At 37.5% G+C, this 22,202-nt stretch overlaps 2 long non-coding RNA genes across 2 annotated transcripts in view; one reads left to right on the top strand and one right to left on the bottom strand.

Annotated features, from left to right (window-relative positions):
* LINC01695 (long intergenic non-protein coding RNA 1695) overlaps positions 1-22,202 on the top strand; it is a 112,574-nt gene that overhangs the window by 77,607 nt on the left and 12,765 nt on the right. The gene's annotated exons all lie outside the window — the stretch shown is intronic.
* The window catches only part of LINC01697 (long intergenic non-protein coding RNA 1697), an 89,196-nt gene continuing 80,445 nt past the window's right edge, over positions 13,452-22,202 (bottom strand). The window contains exons 3-5 of the long non-coding RNA NR_126010.1: positions 20,439-20,531; positions 15,353-15,747; positions 13,452-14,371 (exon numbers count right to left, since the gene is read on the bottom strand). This is a non-coding gene — a long non-coding RNA (long intergenic non-protein coding RNA 1697). The remainder of the gene's footprint in view (positions 14,372-15,352; positions 15,748-20,438; positions 20,532-22,202) is intronic.

Genomic DNA, 22,202 nt, shown 5'->3' with positions numbered 1-22,202 from the left:
TATTGTACATAATAGTGTGTACCACTTTTACATGTCTGGCAGCCCAGTAGGTTTGTTTATACCAGTATCACCACAAACATGTGAGCAATGCATTGAACTGTGTAGGACGTTACCATCGCTACTGTGTCACTAAGTGATGGAAATTTTTCAGCTCTCTTATAATCTTATAGGACCATTGTATATGCAGTACATTGTTGACCAAAATGTCATTATATAGTTCATGACTGTTAAATATTTCCACAGATATACATGTATGGTTTATCAAGCTTAGAATTAAAATAATCTCATTTAATTAGGAACCTATAATCATTCAACAGACATTTGTTAGACATTGCTTTTATTCATGCTTATTTTTGGATAAAGCCCATATTTGAAGCCATGGTGTATTAGATTGGTGCAAAAGTAATTGCTGTTTTTGCCATTACTTTCAATGACCACAATTACTTTTGCACAAATTACCTTTGCACCAACCTAATAAATAGAAAGATAATTCCTTCTAAGTAGACGGAACAATTATGCTTAATGTTTTTTTTTCTTTTTCTTCTTTGTTTCCCACTATTCCTTTATATTTATGCAGTATATATTTTATGTTTACAGTCCTTTTGTGATATTACAACTCTCTGGTAATCAAAAGATCTTTGGTTAGTTATAAAAATGCCCACTTCCGTGTAATAGTTAAAACATTAGCTACTTTGAAGATAGGGTTTATCCGTTCTCCTTGTTCAGACCTGCCGCAGAGGGGGAAGCTGGCAATCCGAGTCAAGTGTGCAGCTGCTACTACTCTTTCTCTACTTTGTAATTCTACTACTTTCCTCCATAGCAATGAGGTTTCGTCCCCCATAAAGGCCAGCATCCAGGGAGCGAGGGGAGGGGCTTGTGTCCTACTCCTCTGGGCCTGAAAACAGTGTGAAGCTGACTACGTTTCTACTGTGAATCCTTTCTTGTCTTCATTCCTTACCCTTAGAGTCAAAGATGCTCCCTTTTCTGGCCTCTCCCTTGCTTCTTTCTCAGGCCCTGCACATCTGACAGCAATTGTAGTTTTTCTGTTTTTCTACTCAAGTCTGTTTGCCCTTTGGGCATCCCTCCTGAGCACGCACACACACACACACACACACACACACACGCGCGCGCGCGCGTGCTCGCCTTCAGTACTGAAGCTGGGAGTGTGGACCTCCCTTGATCAATCTCACTTTCTTTGGTTCACCCATCAACAGCTGTCTTGCCTTTTCCTCACCTGTTAGATATGATAGGCAGAGCCCAACATCAATTGACCTCATCTAGCAATTATAGGAAACACATGTCAAGCTCTCTGAGTTGTCCCATTGAAGATTCCCTCACTAGGCTTGAGGCAAAAATGGCCACCCTCCACATCTCCTGCATTGGACAGAATTCTCTGAAGAAAATTTCTCAAAGTTCAACTCTCTCTTTTAAAAGCAAGGACAAAAATCGTTACCAGGTTTGGCCAACTACTTTGTAAGCGCTACATAGAATCTGGGAACTTCTTTGCGATGGGATATTGCTTCCTGGTATCTCAGCAAGGTATTTTAACATCATGCTATATATACAGCATGATGTTCAGGGTATTGGGCCACCAAAATGATATATATCATTTACCAGTGTTTAGGCTGAGCCCTAGACTAATCACATTGGTGCAGGTATGGCTTAGCAAGTCCTCACCCCTACGCCCCCACTCCCACCCCCTAGCGTAGCTTTACACACCGGCCTCCAATTATTACCACTCTCCAGAGCACACACCTTGGCTGGGAGCAGCGCCTCACTTAATCAGCATCTGCTCACTGAGTAGTGCAGCATATGTAGCACTAGTACTGATTAACTTTAAAGTGAGTTCATCTTACATAGATAAGTAGGTGAGAAACAACGGATTTTTAAAAACCCAACCAAAAAAATGAGAGCAGCTTTCAGCTCTCATAATATCTTCTGAAATGTGACCATGAAGACTAGTTATAGAAATTCAAACCAACCCAAACTGAGTCTTTCTTCCCAAAATAGCATTGCCAGTGTGCATGTGTGTATGCATATGAGTGTATACCTAAGTGTAGGAGAAGGAAGACACTTAACCAATCACATACAGTATTAGTTAGAATCGTCACGTACTTTTTAATTAAAGGACTGAATCCCAGCTCAAACTTGCTTAATCTAAGGGCCAACAATATATTATTGCTGAGTAATCCAAGTGTGGCTCTTCAACCTGGATAGAAGCAGCAGCAGGACAGACAATATTGGGTTTCTTCTGTTCTTCCTGTCTTCTGTTCACCTTTTCTTATCTCTAATCTCTTTCCTAGTTGTCCTCCCAGGATTTCTTTCTTGTGGGTGCCCTTTTTGCAGCGTAAAAACCCCAGGGGAAGAGGTAGCAGTCACAAAAGAAATCCTAGGGAGGAGTTATCAGCCTGCAGGCTCTGTTTGGCCAGGCAGGGGACATGTGCCAACATTGTGCTGGAAATACTCCAAATACTCTAGAGTAGAGGAGGAGTGTGCTAGGGAAAGTGTGTCAGTTTGCAGCGGTTACCATGACAGAGTACCATAAACTGAGTGGCTTCAACAAAAATGTTTGAAATGTATGGTCTTAGAGTTCTGGAGGCTGGAAGTCCAAAATGAAGCTGTCAGCAGGCTTGGTTCCTTCTGAGGTCTGTGAAGGAGTGAGCTGTTCGAGGCCTCTCTTTTTGGCTTATAGATGACTATCTTCTCCCTGTGTTGCTTCATATTATCTTACCTTTGTGGGTGCCTGTCTCTTTGTCCAAAATTCCCCTTTTTATAAGACACAAAATTCCCCTTTTTATAAGTCATATTCAATAAAATCCCACTCTAGTAATCTCATTTTAACTTGATTACCTCTATAGAGATCCTACCTCTACATAAGATCACGTTCTGAGGTACTGGGAGTTAGGACTCCAGCATATCTTTCTAGGGGTACACATTTCAACCTACAACACACTATAACTTAAAAAGGGAAGTCAGCATTGACTGTATGAGGACAAATCTCAACTATCATACTCTATTATACACAAATTTACAGAGTGGCAAATGTGCAAATGAAAGCAACTAAGGAAGTGGTAATCATTCATTCTCTTTCTCTCTCCCTAAATATATACACAAACAGACTTTCCTCATTTTTGAACTTATAAAATGTAGATGGTTCCCAACTTAGGACGGTTCAATTTACAGTATCTTGACTTTATGAGGAGTTTTATTGCCATTAAATGTATTTTCAACATATCAGTTTATTGAAAGTAATTCCATCATAAGTAGAGGACCATATATATTTATGCATATATGTATATGTATGTATACATACATATGTATAATATATATATAACATTATATGTGTTTGTGTGTATATAAACTTCTTTTATTTGTGTGTGTGTGTGTATATATATATATATATATATTTTTTTTTTTTTTTTTTTTTTTTTTTGAGACGGAGTCTCATTCTGTCTACCAGGCTGGAGTGCAGTGGCACAATCTTGGCTCACTGCAACCACTGCCTTCTGAGTTCAAGCGATTCTCCTGTCTCAGGCTCCAGAGAAGCTAGGACGGCAGGTGCCCACCACCACACCTGGCTAATTTTTGTATTTTTAGTAGTGACGGTGTTTCTTTTGTATTTTTAGTAGAGACGGTGTTTCAACATGTTGGCCACGCTGGTCTCAAACTCCTGACCTCAAGTGATCTGCCTGCCTCAGCCTCCCAAAGTGCTGGGATTACAGGCATGAGCCACTGCACCTGACCCATTTTTATATGCATTTATGGTTTCTAGTTCTAAGAAAATCTTTTATTTGATAGTGTTCTGTGTATATATCCTCTACAATTTTTGCCTCTGTTTATTTTAAATGTTCTTCTTCAGACTTTGAAAACTATTCAAAAGCAATAGTTCTTTATAAGTATTTATATAACAAAATAATCTTACAGCATTCATTCTAATAAAATCAAGTATTTATGAAGAAAATAACAGTATGTATTTCTTCCCCATATCCATCTAAACATTTGTTCTACAGTTTCTAAATTAGAGAAGAATTAGCACCTCAAATGAAGCATGCAATTACATCAATAAAATTGAAGACTTTTTTTTTCAAGAAATCATACAAAACATATTGAATAGTGCATTATATTTGTTAGTATGTATGATTCTTTTCTATTAATTCCTTAACTGTAAAGTCCAGACCTTCTTTATCAGAGGCAAGGTATTGAACTTTACTTTGCCCTTAACAGCTCCCCAGGAAATATTTTCATGAATGAATGAAAGAAATGACAAGTCATTCATCAAGTAAAATGAAACAGCATTCTCATCTTTATTTTTTCTAAAGGAAAAAGAAGGTAATTAAGGGAGAATTGAAAAATACACACACATGCACAGAGTTTAGAACTTATTTTCCATTAAGATAAATCACATCTTATTCTGAAGAAACCTCTGGGTATTTTTCTTGTTGTAGTTGCTGTTTGTTTCATTTTGTTTTTGAATAAGGAACTCAAACAATACATGTTGAATTGAAACTTGGCCATTTTTGGATACATATAAAATACGATTTAAACATAATGTATGTGGAATGGCTTACTTCAAATGTTAATAGTTGTATGCCCATGGACTTAAAAAATTTATTATTGGAAACTGCCTTTCCAAATAAAACTCTTTCAAACAAAATTTCCTCTGGAGGTGTTATGAATTATTACGTGCCAGAAGATGTGCCCTCCCAGCATGTGATGATGTTCGTCTTATTTCCAGATGTTCATATCATCCCTCTTTACATAAAACAGCCCCAGGAAAACGACCGTGTCAAAGATTGGAAAAGCAAATATCCAGGCATCCAGGTTCTAGCACTATCTACCAATAGACTAAGACAAGATGGAATGGGTGATCCCACGCTCCGTTTTTTCCCTCTGAGATACTGTAGTCCTCTTGATTTCAAGTCCACTGTTAAAGTCTGTGCTATGCACATTCTGTTGTTGTCCTGTAATTAACATTATTGTCATAATCTGGGATTAATGATGAGTCCCGTTGTCCTCAAAATGCCTTGCGTTATGCTTTAGCAGTTTCAATGTATCTAAACTTTTATTTTCTGGAGTCAGTTTTATTATTTAAATCTAGAAGCCTATTACATTGTATTAAATTTAAAGGAGCCATTACCCCCCTCTGTGGGAAGAACACAATGAAAGATAAGAGACTAAGCCTGCTTCTAAAACATATCATCAGTTCACTAAAGGTGATATATGAAAAACACATGAGCCTAGAATTCACAGAGATCCGAGACCCGGATTCCAGACACACTGTCTTCTGGTCTATATCATTTTAGAGCCAAACAGCAAACATTTTGCAGGACAGAATTCCCTTTAGTAAAATAGAGATTAAAATAACTATTCACATTGTGATGAAAAGAATTATATACAATGACAGAAAGGGGCCTGGCTCACAATAGTTTTCTAAATGTCCATCCTTTCATTTGCCTTATAAAACAAAAGAAAATTATCCTAGTAAGAGTAAGAAAACTTATTAGTGATGCTTATATAGACTTTCATTTACTCTGTCAACCTTTAAATGCTTTGATTTTTAATCACAACTATGAAGTCTTGCACAATTAATAATATGGAAGAGTGAAGAATGAATAAAACATAGAAAAAAGTAATGAAGACCTTCAATTAAGTCCAATGCATGTTGAAAAAATTTGAATTGGGGAGAAATTTATGTATTGTAGTAAATTACAAAACATAGTTTTGCTATGATTCTGTTTATATGAATTACTGGTAGAGAATATGGCCTTGATCTGAGTGTCAATGTCATTCTTAATTTTTTATAGAAAAATCAACATAGATTATTAACAAATGATTTGATACATTTTATGTAGGTTTTGTTAGTCTTTGGATTTACAATTTGTATTCACCTATGAGATTATTCCTGGAAAAAATATAAAATTTGTCTACATATCTTCACAAACTAAACAAATTGTAGAAAATTTAAAGACAAATCTAATACATTAAAGAAATTCTGTGAATACTTTATAAAACATGAAACACCCAATGTCAAATAACGCAACCTTAATGCAATAAATCAAATGTTTGTGTGTCCTCAAAATTCATACATTAAAATAAAACCTGAGTCCCAGTGAGATGGTATTTAGATGTGGGGACTTAGGGAGGTGATTAGGTGGTAAGGGTGGAGCTCTCAGGAATGGGACTACTTATAAAAGAGACCATGGAGAGTTCCCTTGTCCATTACACCATGTGGAGACATAGTGAGAAGACAGGAAACAGGTTTTCCCCAAGCACCAAATTTGGTGGCGCCTTGATTTGGACTTTTCAACTTCCCAAAATGTGAGAAATATATTTCTGTTGTTTATATTCTGATAGAAAATTACTATAGTAAATATCGATTGAGTCTGTATTACTAAATAAATACGTTACTAAATTAATACGTTAATTAAATCATTTTAAACAAATAATTTCAACTGATTAATACTTTAAAATTGTTTAAAAGAATATGTATTTAATTTGAAAATTTTTTTCCTCTACAGTACTTATTTTAAGGGAAATCTTTTAAAAAGATATTATTGGAAAGTGTATGCAAATTGTACCCCACAATATTAATTAAAATGTGCAGATATATCTTGGCAATTACAATATTGAAGGCAGAAAATGACTTGAGGTATTTATTTTAGCATTTAGTAAAGGAAGAGATACTGAGAGAAAAATCATCTTTTTTCTCCCCAGTAAGTCTATTTCATAGCAAGCTTCCAGCCAAATCATTTTCCTTTACTTAATTTTTTGCTGATCTTTCATTCTCTTAAAAATCCTGAGAACTGATAAAATTCCTAAAGAGTAGAAATCAATTTAATTATTGTAGTATGGATATATTCAAGGTGATCAAATATGTGATAATCAGTCAGATTTAAGCAATATCTTTTAAATACAAGTGCTATAATTGATGCATAATTAAGAATGATTAAAAGTAGAATTGATAAGGTGGTGCAGTCTATTTCAGCTGCTATAATTCATAACCGTAATTTAAAAAGTACAATATCAGTGTGATTGAATTATTAAAAATTCACTTCTGCATATAGACATATCTTTAATAATAGATTTTCTGGTAAATACCTTAATCCCTCTGGTTATAGCTAAAAAAATTATTAATATTTCACATCATGGCTGTTTACAGCCCAACCTTTAGAAAGATTTCATAATAAATTGCCATACTGGGCCAACGAAATGGCTTGTCTAACCCAGTGTTCTGTTTCTGAATGACACCAAAGGACATTTAATTAAGATGGTATTAAAATTGGCCATAGAATTTATCCCTGGAGAATCCTACTGTTTATATTTTTTCATCCAAAAATAAATTTTCTCTTATGTTTACTTTTTCTTAAGCCAGTCCCTTAATCATGTCAAAATATTTTTCATAATCTTGTGACTTTGCTTTAAAAAACACTTGTGTGTGCACACAATACAGATACATGCTTATTCTTCTTTTCTCACTCATTTTGCCCATTTAAAAATATGTAGACAGACTAGCATGAGTTTTCCATGCATGTATGACCATGACTTATATTAGGGTTAGTATTTTTAAAAATTCCTAATGAGAGTCTGAACGCTACTGCTGGGAACAAGCTGAAGAACACTCACCCCATAGTTTCTACTGACTAGAAAAAGGCAGATGGGTAGAATGAGGCTGGTTCCTTTTTAAATAGATGGCAACGATGGGGAAAAGGGCCCCTAAAGGCTGTCATTGGGAGCACATTCCTGAAGGACATGTTGAAAGATGAGAAAGTCTTCACCCAGTAAATAAGCAATGTAAGTTCCGATGGAGATTGCAGCCTGAGCAATTTCACGAAACTCAAGGTATGTTCAGGGCAGCAGAAAATGTTTATAGTATGATTGGTGTATAAGGTGCATTTGAGATGTTGATATGCTTTGCCTTTGTGTTCCCATCCAAGTCTCATCTTGAAACTGTAATCCTCAGTGTTAAAGGAGGTACTTTGTGGGGTATGATTAGATCATGGGGGCAATTCCTCTTGCTGTTCTCATGATAGTGAGTTCTCAGGAGATCTGATGGTTTAAAAGTGTTTGGCAGATCCCCACCCCCCAGCTCTCTCTCTCTGTCTCTCTCTCCTGCCACCAAGTGTGATGTGCCTTGCTTCCTCTTTCCTTCAGCCATGACTGTAAGTTTTTGGAGGCCTCCTGAGTCATGTGGAACTGTGAGTCAGTTAAACCTCTTTTGTTTATAAATTACTCAGTCTCATGTAGTTCTGCATAGCAGTGTGAAAATAGCTAATACAGATGTGTAACTGGAAATGTAGATAATAACATTATTCAGATGCCATCTTTACCAATGTTTATCAAATTTTTAAAATTGAAAATTGTAGTAAAAAATGCATCTGACTTTGTAACCCAGGACTTATATACATATAGCTCTCTCTATAGCCAGAAACTCTTTGCTTTCTATAGTTCTGATAGACACAGATTTCAATTATCAGGCCTTATTTAGTTAAATAACATCAGTCCCCTGGCAACAAGGTTCAAATTTTAATTACCAGGATATATTACCTGGAAAAAATTGCTTAAAGGACAAACTTTACTGCTAGCCCTACAGTGCACAAATCACTGTACATCATTACCAGTGACCAGTCATTGTGTCATTTCTTTCGAAGTCTGTCAGTGATTGGTCAATGAAGATCTGTTACTCAGTTTACCCTTAAATACCAAGGCATGTAGTTGTGTCCCTCCTTATTTCCCAGTGATGGAAGTTGGTGACAGCTTACAACAAAAGTATGAGCAAAAAAAATGAGTTGGTCAGCAAAGGTAAATGTGCAGGAAAAAAAAAAAGTGGTAACACTGTAAGTAAAATTTAAATTAAATGTAAGCAAAGTTATAGAAGAAATAGCTAAGGGTGAAAATATTGACACAGCTGATGTTTGAGAGACTTTAGTATGTAGTCAAAGACACTCATTGAAGATGAACTTATTAATGTAAATTAAGAAAATGGTTGTGAGCCGGGCACGGTGGTTCATGCCTGTAATCCCAGCACTTTGGGAGGCCGAGGGAGGGGTGGATCACGAAGTCAGGAGTTCAAGACCAGCCTGGCCAAGATGGTGAAACCCCATCTCTACTAAAAATACAAAAATTAGCCAGACGTGGTGGCGGGCGACTGTAATCCCAGCTACTCTGGAGGCTGAGGCAGGAGAATCGCTTGAACCCGGGAGGTGGAGGTTGCAGTGAGCCAAGATCACACCACTGCACTCCAGCCTGGGTGACAGTGTGAGACTCCATCTCAAAAAAAGATAATAAATAAATAAATAAATAAATAAATAAATAAATAAATAAATGAAAGTCATTGTGAAGGCAGTTATGAAGATGTCTGAGAGAAAGTGATGTCAGGAAAAACCTTCACATGAAAGGAAATCTCAGGATTTTTTTCCAGATATTGAAAGCACAAAGGATAAAATCTTGAGAGTTGGTCCAAGGTTAGATAGGAATATGAGAAGTTGTCAATGCATAGAAAAAAATGCTCACTCTGTATCATTTGTTATAAATAAGAAGTAGAGGACAAAAACTGTTGATAGATTTTATTTATATTTTAAAATAAGTATAGATTCACAGAAAGTTTCAAAAAACATACAAGGAGCCCCCATGTACCCTTCACCTAGACTCTGCAAATGGTAACATCTTGTATGACAATAAACATAAAAACATATATAAACATGTACATATGCAGTTCTATGCAATTTTAGCACACATGTAGCCTTCCGTAGCCACGACTCCAATCACAACAGTTCCAGCAGCATAGGAACCATGCTTCCTTTATAATCATACCCACCTCTTTCCCCCGAAACAACTAAGTCCTATGACCATTAATCTATTCTCCTCCTCTACAATTTTGTAATCTTGTGACTATTTTATAAATGAAAATATACAATTTGTTACCTGTTGAGATTGCATTTTTTTTCATTTAGTATAATTCCCTTAAAGTAATACCCAACAATTTCCATCCAAGTGTTGAGTGTATCAACAATTTATACTAAGTTTTTTACAAAGAAGTAAAGTACTTCAACCTCAATGTTTCAAGTGTTTTAAATTAAAGAGTACTAGGTAAGACTAGTTTTATTACCTTTTAATTCTTTGTAAATTTATAACCAACAATAAGAGAGATTGTAAAGTCTTGACAAACATCATTAAAGATTACGGTACAATTATAATTTTTCCCATTGATTATTAAAATCACTTTTCATGGTTTCAGTTTGTACAGTCCATTTGCATACTACTTTGAGGAGGGTGAACTTTCTGTAGCATATATGTATGTGTATGTATGTATGTACCTCTTTATCTATATGACTGAGATATATGTATATATACATTACTGAAACAAAGTTTTCATGGGCAATAATTTTTACATGCATTTGTTTTCTATTGCTGCCATTGAAGTTACCAAAATATTAGTCGTATAAAACTACAATAATTTATTACCTTGTTGTTCTATAGGTCAGAAGTCTGACAAAAGTTTCACTGAGCTAAAATCAAGGTATTAGTGGGATTGCATTTCTCTTCAGAAGATCTAGGGGAAAATCTCTTTCCTGCCTTTTCCAGCTGCTAGAAACCAACCACATTTCCTGGTTTGTGGCCCCTTCCATCTTTAAAGCAACCAATGGCGAATAGAGTTCTTCCCACACACCAGGCTTCCCTGGTTCACTGACAACAGGGAAGCCTGGAAAGGTTTTCTGCTTATTAGGACTGCTGTGATGAGATTGGGACCACCTTGACAATAATCTACTCATATCAAATTATTTAATCGTAATCACGCCTGCCATATATGTTAACCTATGTATAGGTTCTGGGAACTAGGACATGTACATCACTGGGGGATTTTTATGCTGGGTAGGACATTCCACTTTCTAAACTCTAAAGATTTAAGACTATCTCACCTACAAAATTCATTAACCGAAACCAAGTTCCGCAGAATTCTGGACTCACTACGGCACCAACTCAGCATCCAAAATGTCACCTCACCCACTCAAAAGCTTCAAATCACATAACCTAAATTATTTAATTTATGCATGAGGAAAGCTCTGGTATAATCCATTCTGAGGTACAATTTCTCTTTATTGTGAATCTTTGAAAGTGAAAACATAAGTTACCTGTTTCTGAAATATGATGGTAGGGCAGGCATAGGATAATAGTTACAGACAGTCCTGTTTTCAAGAGGGAGAAAATCCTAGGTAAAAAAACAATCACTTGTCCCAAGCCATTTCTAGATTCTGCTAGAGAAATTAGGTTCCTAGATCCAAGACTAATACGATGTTGCTTTTAGCTTTTCCTTCTAAACCTGTGGCTTCCTCCTCTGAGTCCTTTCATGTATATGAAAAGTGGCAGATCTTTGCAACTGAGTAGCTGTGTAAGCTTCTTTCCTGCCAGAATTTTGGAGGTTTAATAGTCTTCTTTAATTTCGTATTTTCTCTGTTCCTTTCAATACAGACTGACAGTGTTTCTCCTGATATAAAATTCTCAAGAACCAAGTGGGTCTCCCATGTATGCCACAGGGGTTCACTCCATAATATGAGACTCTTTCAGAGATCTTTCTTAGATAATCAGTCTTCTATTTTTGCCTTCTGCTGAGATATGTGAGGGACAGTAACCTTAAGCTTCCTCGATGCTCTTTGGTTTGATTGAGGAAATCTAATCTCTTCAAAGAGCCCTTTATATTTGAGTACTTTTGATCTTTTTGAGGCATTAGCAAATTGCTGAGGTATAAAAACAGAAGGTTACTACAGCCGTGTCCTAGGCTTTTTCTTTAGATTATCTATCCCTGTTACTGAGTTTCTTTATTTTAATATCTTTTGCAGTCTGAATAAACTGAGAATTTCCAAAATCATTATGTCTTGGTTTCTTTTTGTTTAAACGGTTCTTTTCTCAAATTATCTCTTTCTCATTGCATTTTGCTATGAGAAGAAACAAGAAGCCAGGCGGCTTCTTCAACCCTTTGCTTGGAAATATCCTTACTTACGTATTCAATTTCATCATTTACAAGTTCTATTTTTCACCTGAACGTAGGACAACTTTGCTAAGTTTCTACCGCTATATAATATGGAAATTCTTTCTTCAAATTTTTAATGTGTTTTTTATTTCCTTCTAAGCCTTCACCAATAGTACTTTTTATGTCCCTATTTTTACTAAGTCTGTTCATGCTGATTCATGTATGCTCTAACGCAGTCTATGCCTTCTCTACCATGCTCTTCTCTTCACTTTCTTCTAAGTCCTTTCTAGCAGAATCATTAACAACCACATTTCTACTAACAATGTGTTCAAAACAATGTAAGTTTTTCTCGGATGACCTTCAACATTCTCTTAGCCTCACTCACTGCCGAATTCCAAAGCCACTTTGACATTTTATAGATATTTGTTACAGCAGTATATAACTCTCAGACATCAAAATTTGTATGAGTTTCCTAATGTCGCCATAACAAATTACCACACATGCATGCAGTGACTTTAAAAACACAAGCAGCTGGCAATACACTCTTCCTAGCAATGCTTCCTAAACAGAATGGACAGTATTCCCTCAAGTTTCAGCTGAAGTCCACCTGCTCCAAGGGACAGAAGCAACAGTGATTTTCTCTTCTGTCCACATTATGCTCATTAACTGCATGACTCAGTGCTATTTACCATGGGTTCTGCTGTATCGCTAGTTATTTATCTTCATAATATGTGAAGTTATCTAAAGAATACAATTAGATAGTTGAGGACAGGAACTTCTGGCATTCCTAGAATTTATGAGTGTTTTTATATGGTAGCCAGTCTGAATCCATTTGTGATGATGATGAAAAACACAACAGATAGCTGGATAGTTAATGTAGGAAACTTTGCTTTATGAAATAAAATTTTGAGAAAGCTAAATATATTTTCCTAACATTGAATCGCTTACGTGTGTTTTATGTAACAACTTATTAATCTCTAATTTTTAATAAGTACAGCTATTATTTATAAAATATTTTAGCTTATAAATAATTTTAACACACTATATCATTTGATCTCAAACATGTAAAAATACTTATTACACAAAGGAGGAACATAGAGTTACCACTTGATTTCAGTTGTGTTTGCTGACTGACGTAGGGTCAAAGAATACATTAGTAGCACTACTGAAACATAACTCTATGGTATATGATTCTAAAACCTGTGTTTTTCCCACTATGCTATATGTACATTCTTATTTCATGAATTTAGACTACATTTAATAACTGACACACGTACTATTTGTTCAACAACAGTTAAGTTCTTAAGAAGTAATGATGGTGCAAAAAGAAAATTTTAATCTTGCCTAATTCTTAATGTAATCAGTAAAAATATAATAATATTGTATCTGACAGAGAGGGCAATTATTCAAATTTTAAAAGACATTCACATCATGAGTAGTTGAGATAAATAACTATCCTGAAAAACCACTGACCATAATGAGTTATTGTTAGCAAGATTTATATTGTACTTTTGAAGTTCTTCTAGAGGCACACAATCAACCATAGGTTTTATCTAACAATAGTAAAAGTAATCCCAAAACATAAAAAGTAGTTGCTGTATTGAAAAGTATATTATAGGACAATAATTAAATGGATGATAAGGAAACCTTGTTACAGGTGATTCACACCACTTCAAAAACAGCAAAAGAAAAAATTGATATTAACATGTACCAATTATAATGCATTATTATGAAATATTTAAAATGGGGAATCCAAGATGACATAGTTTTTAACTCATCCACATACTGGAAGTTTAGAGAAACTCAGAATTTCTTATTTCTTTTTCTTTTTCCTCCATAGCATAAAAGCTTTGCTAATAAGAATAAATATATATATTGGAGTTTTAGTGTTTGATCCTGTGATCAGTTGTAACCGTGTGTCATAAAACTCTCTCACAGATTCCATCTTTCCCAAATCTTCTGATCATAACACAGATTGCCATATAGACTTCCCTTGTAAGAGAATATGCTGGCCATAAGGCAGCAAAGTGAACTTGCAGTTTCACTTCTTGTAAATTAATGCATTTGCATTGACTTCTATAAAATAATCTCTCCTGAATTTTTTTGCTTAGTCAACTTACTGTGTGCAAGCAACAGAAATTGTCTCTGGTTAACTTTTACAGCACAATTAAAAATTGTATGAAGAAGCATACAAAATTTGTATGAGGCTGAATCAGCCTCATTAAATGGTCAGTGATTAAGGGAATTTATGTAGGACACTTCTTTTGGATTCTTGCTGGCACCACAGGACTGTCGATGCTGTCAGCACTGCTGTGCTGTGCTGTGAATAATTCTTCGTTGCTCATGTTCTCTGTGTTCCCCATTCCAGATTCAAAGTCTTAGGCAGGAACATCTTATTGGCCAAGTCTGTTGGGAGGTAATGGGAGTAAATATCTCAGAAAGAGAAAGTTCGTTTGGATGCTGAGTGGCCAAAAAATGACAATTTTCCATGAAAGTAAGGTCGATCTGACGTAAAGTGGTAACAATCATCAAGTGTCTGGATTTAAAAGGTTGAGGACCAAACATTTTTCTTTCATTTTTTATTTCCATCAAATGACAAGTTCCCAGTGATGGGAGGGATCTTAAATATCATATAGTCTGATACTTCTCCAAGCCTCGATTGGGCAAGAAAAGGGTAGTAACAACAAATGATTTCCCTTTGATAGTCTATTTTATCTATTTATTTTAGGTGAGGGGATGATTCCATTTTGAAAAAAAATTTCTTATGTTAAACTTTTGTTCTTTAATATTACTTTTACCTCTCAGAGCTACAGAGGAAATAGATCCAATTACTCTAAACCTAATCATCCTTTTGAATAAAACTTATGCATGGCTTTCGTATCATTTGTGCAAGTAATAAATCCCAATTTACATAATGTTTTTCCTATGACATGATTTTGACTCCGTATTTCTGCTTCTGCCATTCCTGTATTGCCTTTTTCACACACACACACACACACACACACCCCACCACCACCACCACTACCACCAGCACACACACAACACATGTGCATGCATACCAACATTTGCAATACTAAGATGTGAAAATACCAACTGGAAAAGGTTTGACACGTACACAGTGTGGAAGGGCTAGCACTTTACATTTCTTTTTTTTTTTTTTTTTTGAGCTCTGTCACCCAGGCTGGAGGGCAGTGGTTGGTTTCAGTTCACTGCAGCCTCTGCCACCCAGGCTTAAGCAATCTTCCCACCTCACCCTCCTGAGCAACTGGGACTACAGTCACATGCCACCATGCTTGGCTAATGTATTAGTCAGGATTTTCTAGAGGGACAGAACTAATACAATATGTGTATATATGAAAGGGAGTTTATTAAGGAAAATTGACTCACATGATCATAAAGTCAAGTCCCGTGAGAAGCCATCTGCAAGTTGAGGAGCAAGGAAGCCAGTGGTGGATCAGTCTGAGTCCCAAAACCTCAAAATTAGAGAAGCTGACAGTGTAGCCTTCAGTCTGTGACCAAAGGCTCAAGAGGCCCTGGCACACCACTGGTGTAAGTCCATGAGTCCAAAAGCTGAAGAACGTGGAGTCTGATGTTTGAGGGCCAGAAGAATCCAGCACGGGAGAACGGTGAGGGCCAGAAGACTCAGCAGGTCTGCTCTTTCCAACTTCTGCCTGCTTCATTCTAGCCACACTGGCAGCTGACTAGATGACACCCACCCAGATCGAGGGTAGGTCTGCTTCTCCCAGTCCTCTGACTCAAATAATAATCTCCTTTGGCAACACCTGCACAGACACACCCAGAAACAATACTTTGCATCCTTCAATCCAATCAAGTTGACACTCAATACTAACCATCACAGTTAATTATTTAATTTGTTGCAGAGACAAGTTCTCACTATATTGCCCAGGCCATTTTTGAACTACTAGGCTCAAATGATCATTCCACCTGGGCCTCCCAAAATGCTGGGATTATAGGCATAAACCACCATGCCCAGCCTTAAATTCTATATGTCTATTAATACCTTAACATTATTTAGGTTTTCTTGAAGGCCATATGACACCATTCATTTCTGTTGGGCTTTTCCCCACATATTTTTTAAGGGTTCTCTTCTTGAGTCGTGTCTCTCGTTTCCTGTATTTTATTTTTTTAAATCTCCATTTATGGTGTGGACTGAACCTACAAACTAAATCAGTGGTGTGGTTAAAATTCTAGTCTTGGAAACTGAACCTGCAATCTAGCTTGGAGGCATTCTTTCCCCAAATACTGTCACCTAAAAATATGTTAAGAAAATTGTCCATGTCTTTATTAGCTCTTGATTTAAAAAAAACTGAACAGGACAAGTTCAATTATAAATTCCTGGGACATGTCCTTCAAAGTCCCTGTTGGTTGATATTATAAAAGAATGTAATGGGCATCTTTTGGAAACAAAGATCCATCACATTTTGTGTGGTGTTCTCAGCTGGTGGAGAGGTGTCAATATCCCTGCAGAGATTTAAAATATACACGTTTCTTTTACAACCTAAAGATCAGAGAGCCTTCCTCAGAACCTTCATGATTTATGCGGTGTGAGAAATGGGTTGGTATTCGATTATTTTCTGTTCTAACTCATTCATTCATTCATTCATTCATTCATTCATTCGCTTATTACATGCCAAGGCCTATTCCATAGTCAATATTATGTAGTTAAAGAAGGGTCATCTGGCCGGGCAGGGAGCCTTATGCCTGTAATCCCAGCACTTTGGGAGGCCAAGGAGGGTGGATCATGAGGTCAAGAGTTCGAGAACAGCCTGGCCAACATGGTGAAACCCTGTCGCTACTAAAAATAGAAAAAAAAAAAAAAAAAAGCCGGGCATGGTGGCACTTGCCTGTAATCCCAGCTACTCAGGAGGCTGAGGCAAGAGAATTGCTTGAACCTGGGAGGCGGAGGTTGCAGTAAGCTGAGATTGCACCATTGCACTCCAGCCTGGGCAACAGGACAAGACTCCTTCTCAAAGAAAAAAAAAGTCGACTTTTTACCAAATTGATATTTCTTTATGAAACTTCAAGAAAGAGTGAGGATTTTCCCCTGATTCAGGGCTAGATCGATAATGCAAATTAAAAAGCATTAAATGTATATGATTGTTTCTCACCTAGATAAGAAAATATCTTTTTTTAAAAATTATACTTTAAGTTTTAGGGTACATGTGCACAATGTGCAGGTTAGTTACATATGTATACATGTGCCATGATGGTGTGCTGCACCCAGAAACTAGTCATTTAACATTAGGTATATCTCCAAATGCTATCCCTCCCTCCTCCCCCCACCCCACAACAGGGCCCGGTGTGTGATGTTCCCCTTCCTGTGCCCAAGTGTTCTCATTGTTCAATTCCCACCTATGAGTGAGAACATGCGGCGTTTGGTTTTTTGTCCTTGCGATAGTTTGCTGAGAATGGTGGTTTCCAGCTTCATCCATGTCCCTACAAAGGACATGAACTCATCGTTTTTTTTGGCTGCATAGTACTCCACGGTGTATATGTGCCACATTTTCTTAATCCAGTCTATCATTGTTGGACATTTATCTTTTTTCCACTTTCAGATCTCACTTTATATTATCCTGATCTTGATTAAAGCATAGTCTTCTACAAAAAAATTATATTTCTGTAGAGTGTAAAACTTCATGGCAAATGGCGATACATAGCAAATGACGCTCAGGTCCAGGATTGGAGAATATGAGGGAGTGGTGGGGACTGTGTTAAGCAAGAACACATTCTTTGCTTTTTGGAGAGAAGCTGCATAGATCCAGCCAATTGTTGTCATATAGGAATGTCAGCTCAGTATTGCCAGATCTTCTGATTTTTTTTTTCAACAGAATCCAGAAGTCTGGGTTTTTTCATAAAACTTCCCAGTTTTAAATGTTGGTAATATTTTTTAAAACAGTGTAAGAGCCAAATAAAACATATCTGTGGGCCAGGTTTAGCTTTCAAGTTGCTAGTTTGTAACCTTTATTCTAGAGGTATAGAGCTAGAGCCCAGCTACAGTATCAATCTGCCCAGTACTTGTTGCTTCCTGAGGACCTGTGGCTCCCAGCAGAAACAGAACCTTAATACGACTTCCCTGCCACTCTGTCTTCATCTATCCAGATTCCAGTGGTGGTAAGCCTAATACACCCCTTGGGGATATCTCACTACATAGAACTTTAATGATTCCCTTCTCCATCAGACCATAAATTCTTGAGGGAAGAGAAAATTTATTTGTTTTACAAGCAAATTACACAGCAACTGGGGCCACATCAGCTACAGTGAATGAGCTTCACTTTTTCAACAGTTTTTTTTTTTTTTCTGGTCAGCATTGTATCCATAGTAAAATTTACAGCATTTCTTTCCCTAGACTCTAAGACATGACCCTCCTGAAACCTGTTTTTTGGTTTTAATATAAAAAGTGAAAGATGATTTTTGATATTTTGGCCCCTGCAGTTCTCATGACTCAGAGGAAGAATTAAGTCTTCACTATTACATGCACAGCATGGTGGCATGCATAAAGGAATTAAGTGGCTTCAAGGTCAGTGATATAGTTTGAATATGTGTCCTCACCCAAATCTCATGTTGAAACGTAATTCCCAATGTTGGAGTTGGGGCCTGGTGGTAGGTGATTGGATCATGGGGGTGGATTTCTCATGAATGGTTTAGCATCATCCTCTTTGTACCGTCCTCCTGATAGTGAATGAGTTATCAGAAGATTATTTTGTTTAAAAGTATTTGGCACCTCCCCCACTCTTGTTCTTGCTCCTGCTTTCACCATGTGATAGACACACCTGCTCCCTTTTCACCTTCTGCCATGATTGGAAGCTTCCTGAGGCCTTTCCAGAAGCAGATGCTGCAGTGCATTCTGTAAAGCCTGTATAATCATGAGCCAATTGAACCTCTTTTCTTATAAATCACTCAGTGTCAGGTATTTCTTTATAACAATATTAGAATGGTCTGATACAGAAAATTGGTACCGAGGAGTGGGACATTGCTATAAAGATACCTGAAAATGTGGAAGCAACTTTGGAATTGAGTAACAGGTAGAGGTTGGAAGAGTTTGGAGAGCTCAGAAGACAGGAAGATGAAGAAAACTAGAACATCTTAGACATTGGTTAACTGATGGTGACAGAAATAATGATAGTGATGTAAACAGTGAAGTCCAGGCTACCAAGGTCTCAGATGGAAATAAACAACTTACTGGGACCTGGAGCAAAGGTCACTTTTGTTATGCCTTAGTGAAGAACTTGGTTGCATTATGCCCCCACCCTAGGGATCTGTGGAACTTTGGATTTAAGAGTAATGATTTAGGGTATCTCGAAGAAGAAATTTCTAAGCAGCAAAGCATTCAAGATGTGGTATGGCTGCTTCTAACAGCCTATACTCATATGCAGGAGCAAATAAATGATTTAAAGCTAGAACTTATATTTAAAATGGAAGCAAATTGTAAAAGTTTGGAAATTTTGAAGCCTGTTCATATAGTAGAAGAGAAAACCTCATTTTCAGGGAAAATTCAAGTAGGTTGCTGAGTGACCACTTGCTGTGGAAATTTGCATTAGTGAAAAGAAAGCAAGTGCTGCTAGCCAAGACAATGGGAAAAAAGGCCTGGAAGGTATTTCAGAGATCTAAGGGGCAGCTTTTTCCATCACAGGCCCTGAGGCCTAGGAGGAGAGAATGGTTTTGTGGGCCATGCCCAGGGCCCTGCTGCCCTGCACAGCCTTAGGACATGGCTCCCTGTATCCTGTCAGCTTCAGCTCCAGCAGTGGCTCAAAGTAGTCCAGGAACAGCTTAGGCCACAGCACCAGAGGGTGCAAGCCATAAGTGTTGGTGGCTTCTACATGGTGTTTACTTTGTAGGTGCACAGAATGCAAGAGTGTTTGAGGCTTGGGAACCTCTGCATACATTTCCTAGGATGTATAGAAAAGCCTAGGTGTCCAGGCAGAAGCCTGCTGAAGTGGCAGAGTCCTCATGGAAAACTTCTACCAGGGTAGTACAGAGGGAAAATGTGGGTCAGATCCCACAGACAGAGTTCTCATTGGTTGAGCTGTGGAAGAAGGTCACCATCCTCCAGACTGGGTAGATCCACTGGCAGTTTGCACCCTTGCTGTGGAAAAGCTGCAGGCACATAACAACCTGTGAGAGCAACCTCTGGGGCAGAATCCTACAAATCCAGAGGGGTGGCACTTGGGCAAGATCTTAGGAGCCCACCCCTGTATCAGTGTGCCCTGGATGTGAGACATGTAGTCTGAGGATATTGGTTTGAAGCTTTAAGATGTAATGACTACTGTGCTGAGTTTCAGATTTGCATAAGACCTGTAGCCCCTTTCTTTTAGCTGATTCCTCCGTTTTGGAATAAGAGTGTTTACCCAATGCTTGTACCATCATTGTGTCTTAGAAGTGACTAACTTGTTTTTTTTTTTAATTTTTAGAATTTTATTTTTATTTTACTGGCTCATAGGTAGAAGGGACTTACCTTGTTTCAGATGAGACTTTGAATTTTGGTCTTTGAGTTAACGCTGGAATGAGTTGAGACTTTGGGAGATGATTGGGAAGGCATATTTGTATTCTGAAATGTAAGACAGACATGAGATTTGGGAGGGGCCATGGGAAGAATGATATAGTTCGAATCTGTGTTCACACCCACATCTCATGTTGAAATATAATCCCCAGTTTTGGAGGTGGGGCCTGGTGGGAGGTGATGAGATTATGGTGGTGAATTTCTCACGAGTGGTTTAGTACCATCCCCTGAGACCCACATAGGTCTCAGTTTCTGATCCTCTTGGGCAGAAGCAGGTCTCGTACTTTGTGCTCCCTGGATCTCTTCCAGGAGCACAATCATCCACTGTGCAAAAGCCTGTGCAAAGTGGGTGAGGGTGCCCAGAGATAGCTCTGTGTATGCCCACTCCTGACATTCCTAAATTCTCAAATCTCCCCACTTTTGCCTCTTCATAAATCCCAGTGGCTACCCTGGGTCACATGTATGTACTTTTTAAATGAAGTGGAAATATGAAAGATAATAAATGCAAACCAGCTATTTATATAATAGACTATTAGGTACTCAAATCTGGAAATATATTTTTAGACTTGTGTCATTCATAAATACAATTTTAAAATTAATACACTAGTGGCCAGGCACAGTGGCTCACGCCTGTAATCCCAGCACTTTGGGAGGCCTAGATGGGTGGATCATGAGGTCAGGAGATCAAGACCATCCTGGCTAACACAGTGAAACCCTGTCTCTACTAAAAATACAAAAAAGTTAGCCAGGCGTGGTGGTGGGTGCCTGTAGTCCCTGCTACTCGGGAGGCTGAGGCAGTAGAATGGTGTGAACCTGGGAGGTGGAGGTTGCAGTGAGCCGAGATTGCACCACTGCACTCCAGCCTGGGCAATAGAGTGAGACTCCATCTCAAAAAAAAAAAATTAATCCACTAGCATAGCTACTATTTATAGAGTGGAAACTATACGTGTTAGATGCTATTTATGTGTTACTTTTTTGAGTCCTCACAAAGAATTTTCAACAAATGATTGTATGTGTTGGATGCATTGTATATTACCTCCTTATTAGTCACCAGAAATTATAAAATTAAATAAATAATGAAAGTATTATTAGTTCTCTTAACACTTAAGGAAAACAAGACTAAAATAGGCTTATATATTTTGCTTAACTTTACCTTGCTGGCAAGCGACTAGGCCTGGATTTGAACCCAACCTTCAGGAAAGATCATGTGTTTTCATCACACTACAAAGTCTCTTTTGTGGGAGTCTGCCAGTTAGTTTTACCAGTCTCCCAATTTGCTTGTATACTTACGTGCAAGTTAGGAATAATTTTGGAATCCCAGCACTTTGGGAGGCCGAGGCAGGCAGATCACCTGAGGTTGGGAGTTTGAGACCAACCTGACCGACATGGAGAAACCCCATCTCTACTAAAAATACAAAATTAGCCAGGCATGGTGGTGGATGGCTATAATCACAGCTACAAGGGAGGCTGAGGCAGTAGAATAGCTTGAACCCGGGAGGCAGAGGTTACGGTGAGCCGAGATCGTGCCATTGCACTTCAGCCTGGGCAACAAGAACGAAACTCCATCTCAAAATAATAATAATAATAATTTTGGCCACAAATAACAGAAAATCTAAAAGTACATTATACAATATTGTAATTTGCTTTCTGTCAGAAGCTGTGAGACAGAGACTAGTGTTAGAATTTTTCACAGGGAGTGTTCTCAGAAGCTTCACCTTA

The sequence above is a fragment of the Homo sapiens genome, chromosome 21, assembly GCF_000001405.40.
Source record: "Homo sapiens chromosome 21, GRCh38.p14 Primary Assembly".
In the NCBI taxonomy this organism is placed as follows: Eukaryota; Metazoa; Chordata; class Mammalia; order Primates; family Hominidae; genus Homo; species Homo sapiens.
The sequence above is the reverse complement of the archived record's forward strand: the minus strand, read 5'-3'. Positions and strand labels throughout refer to the sequence as shown.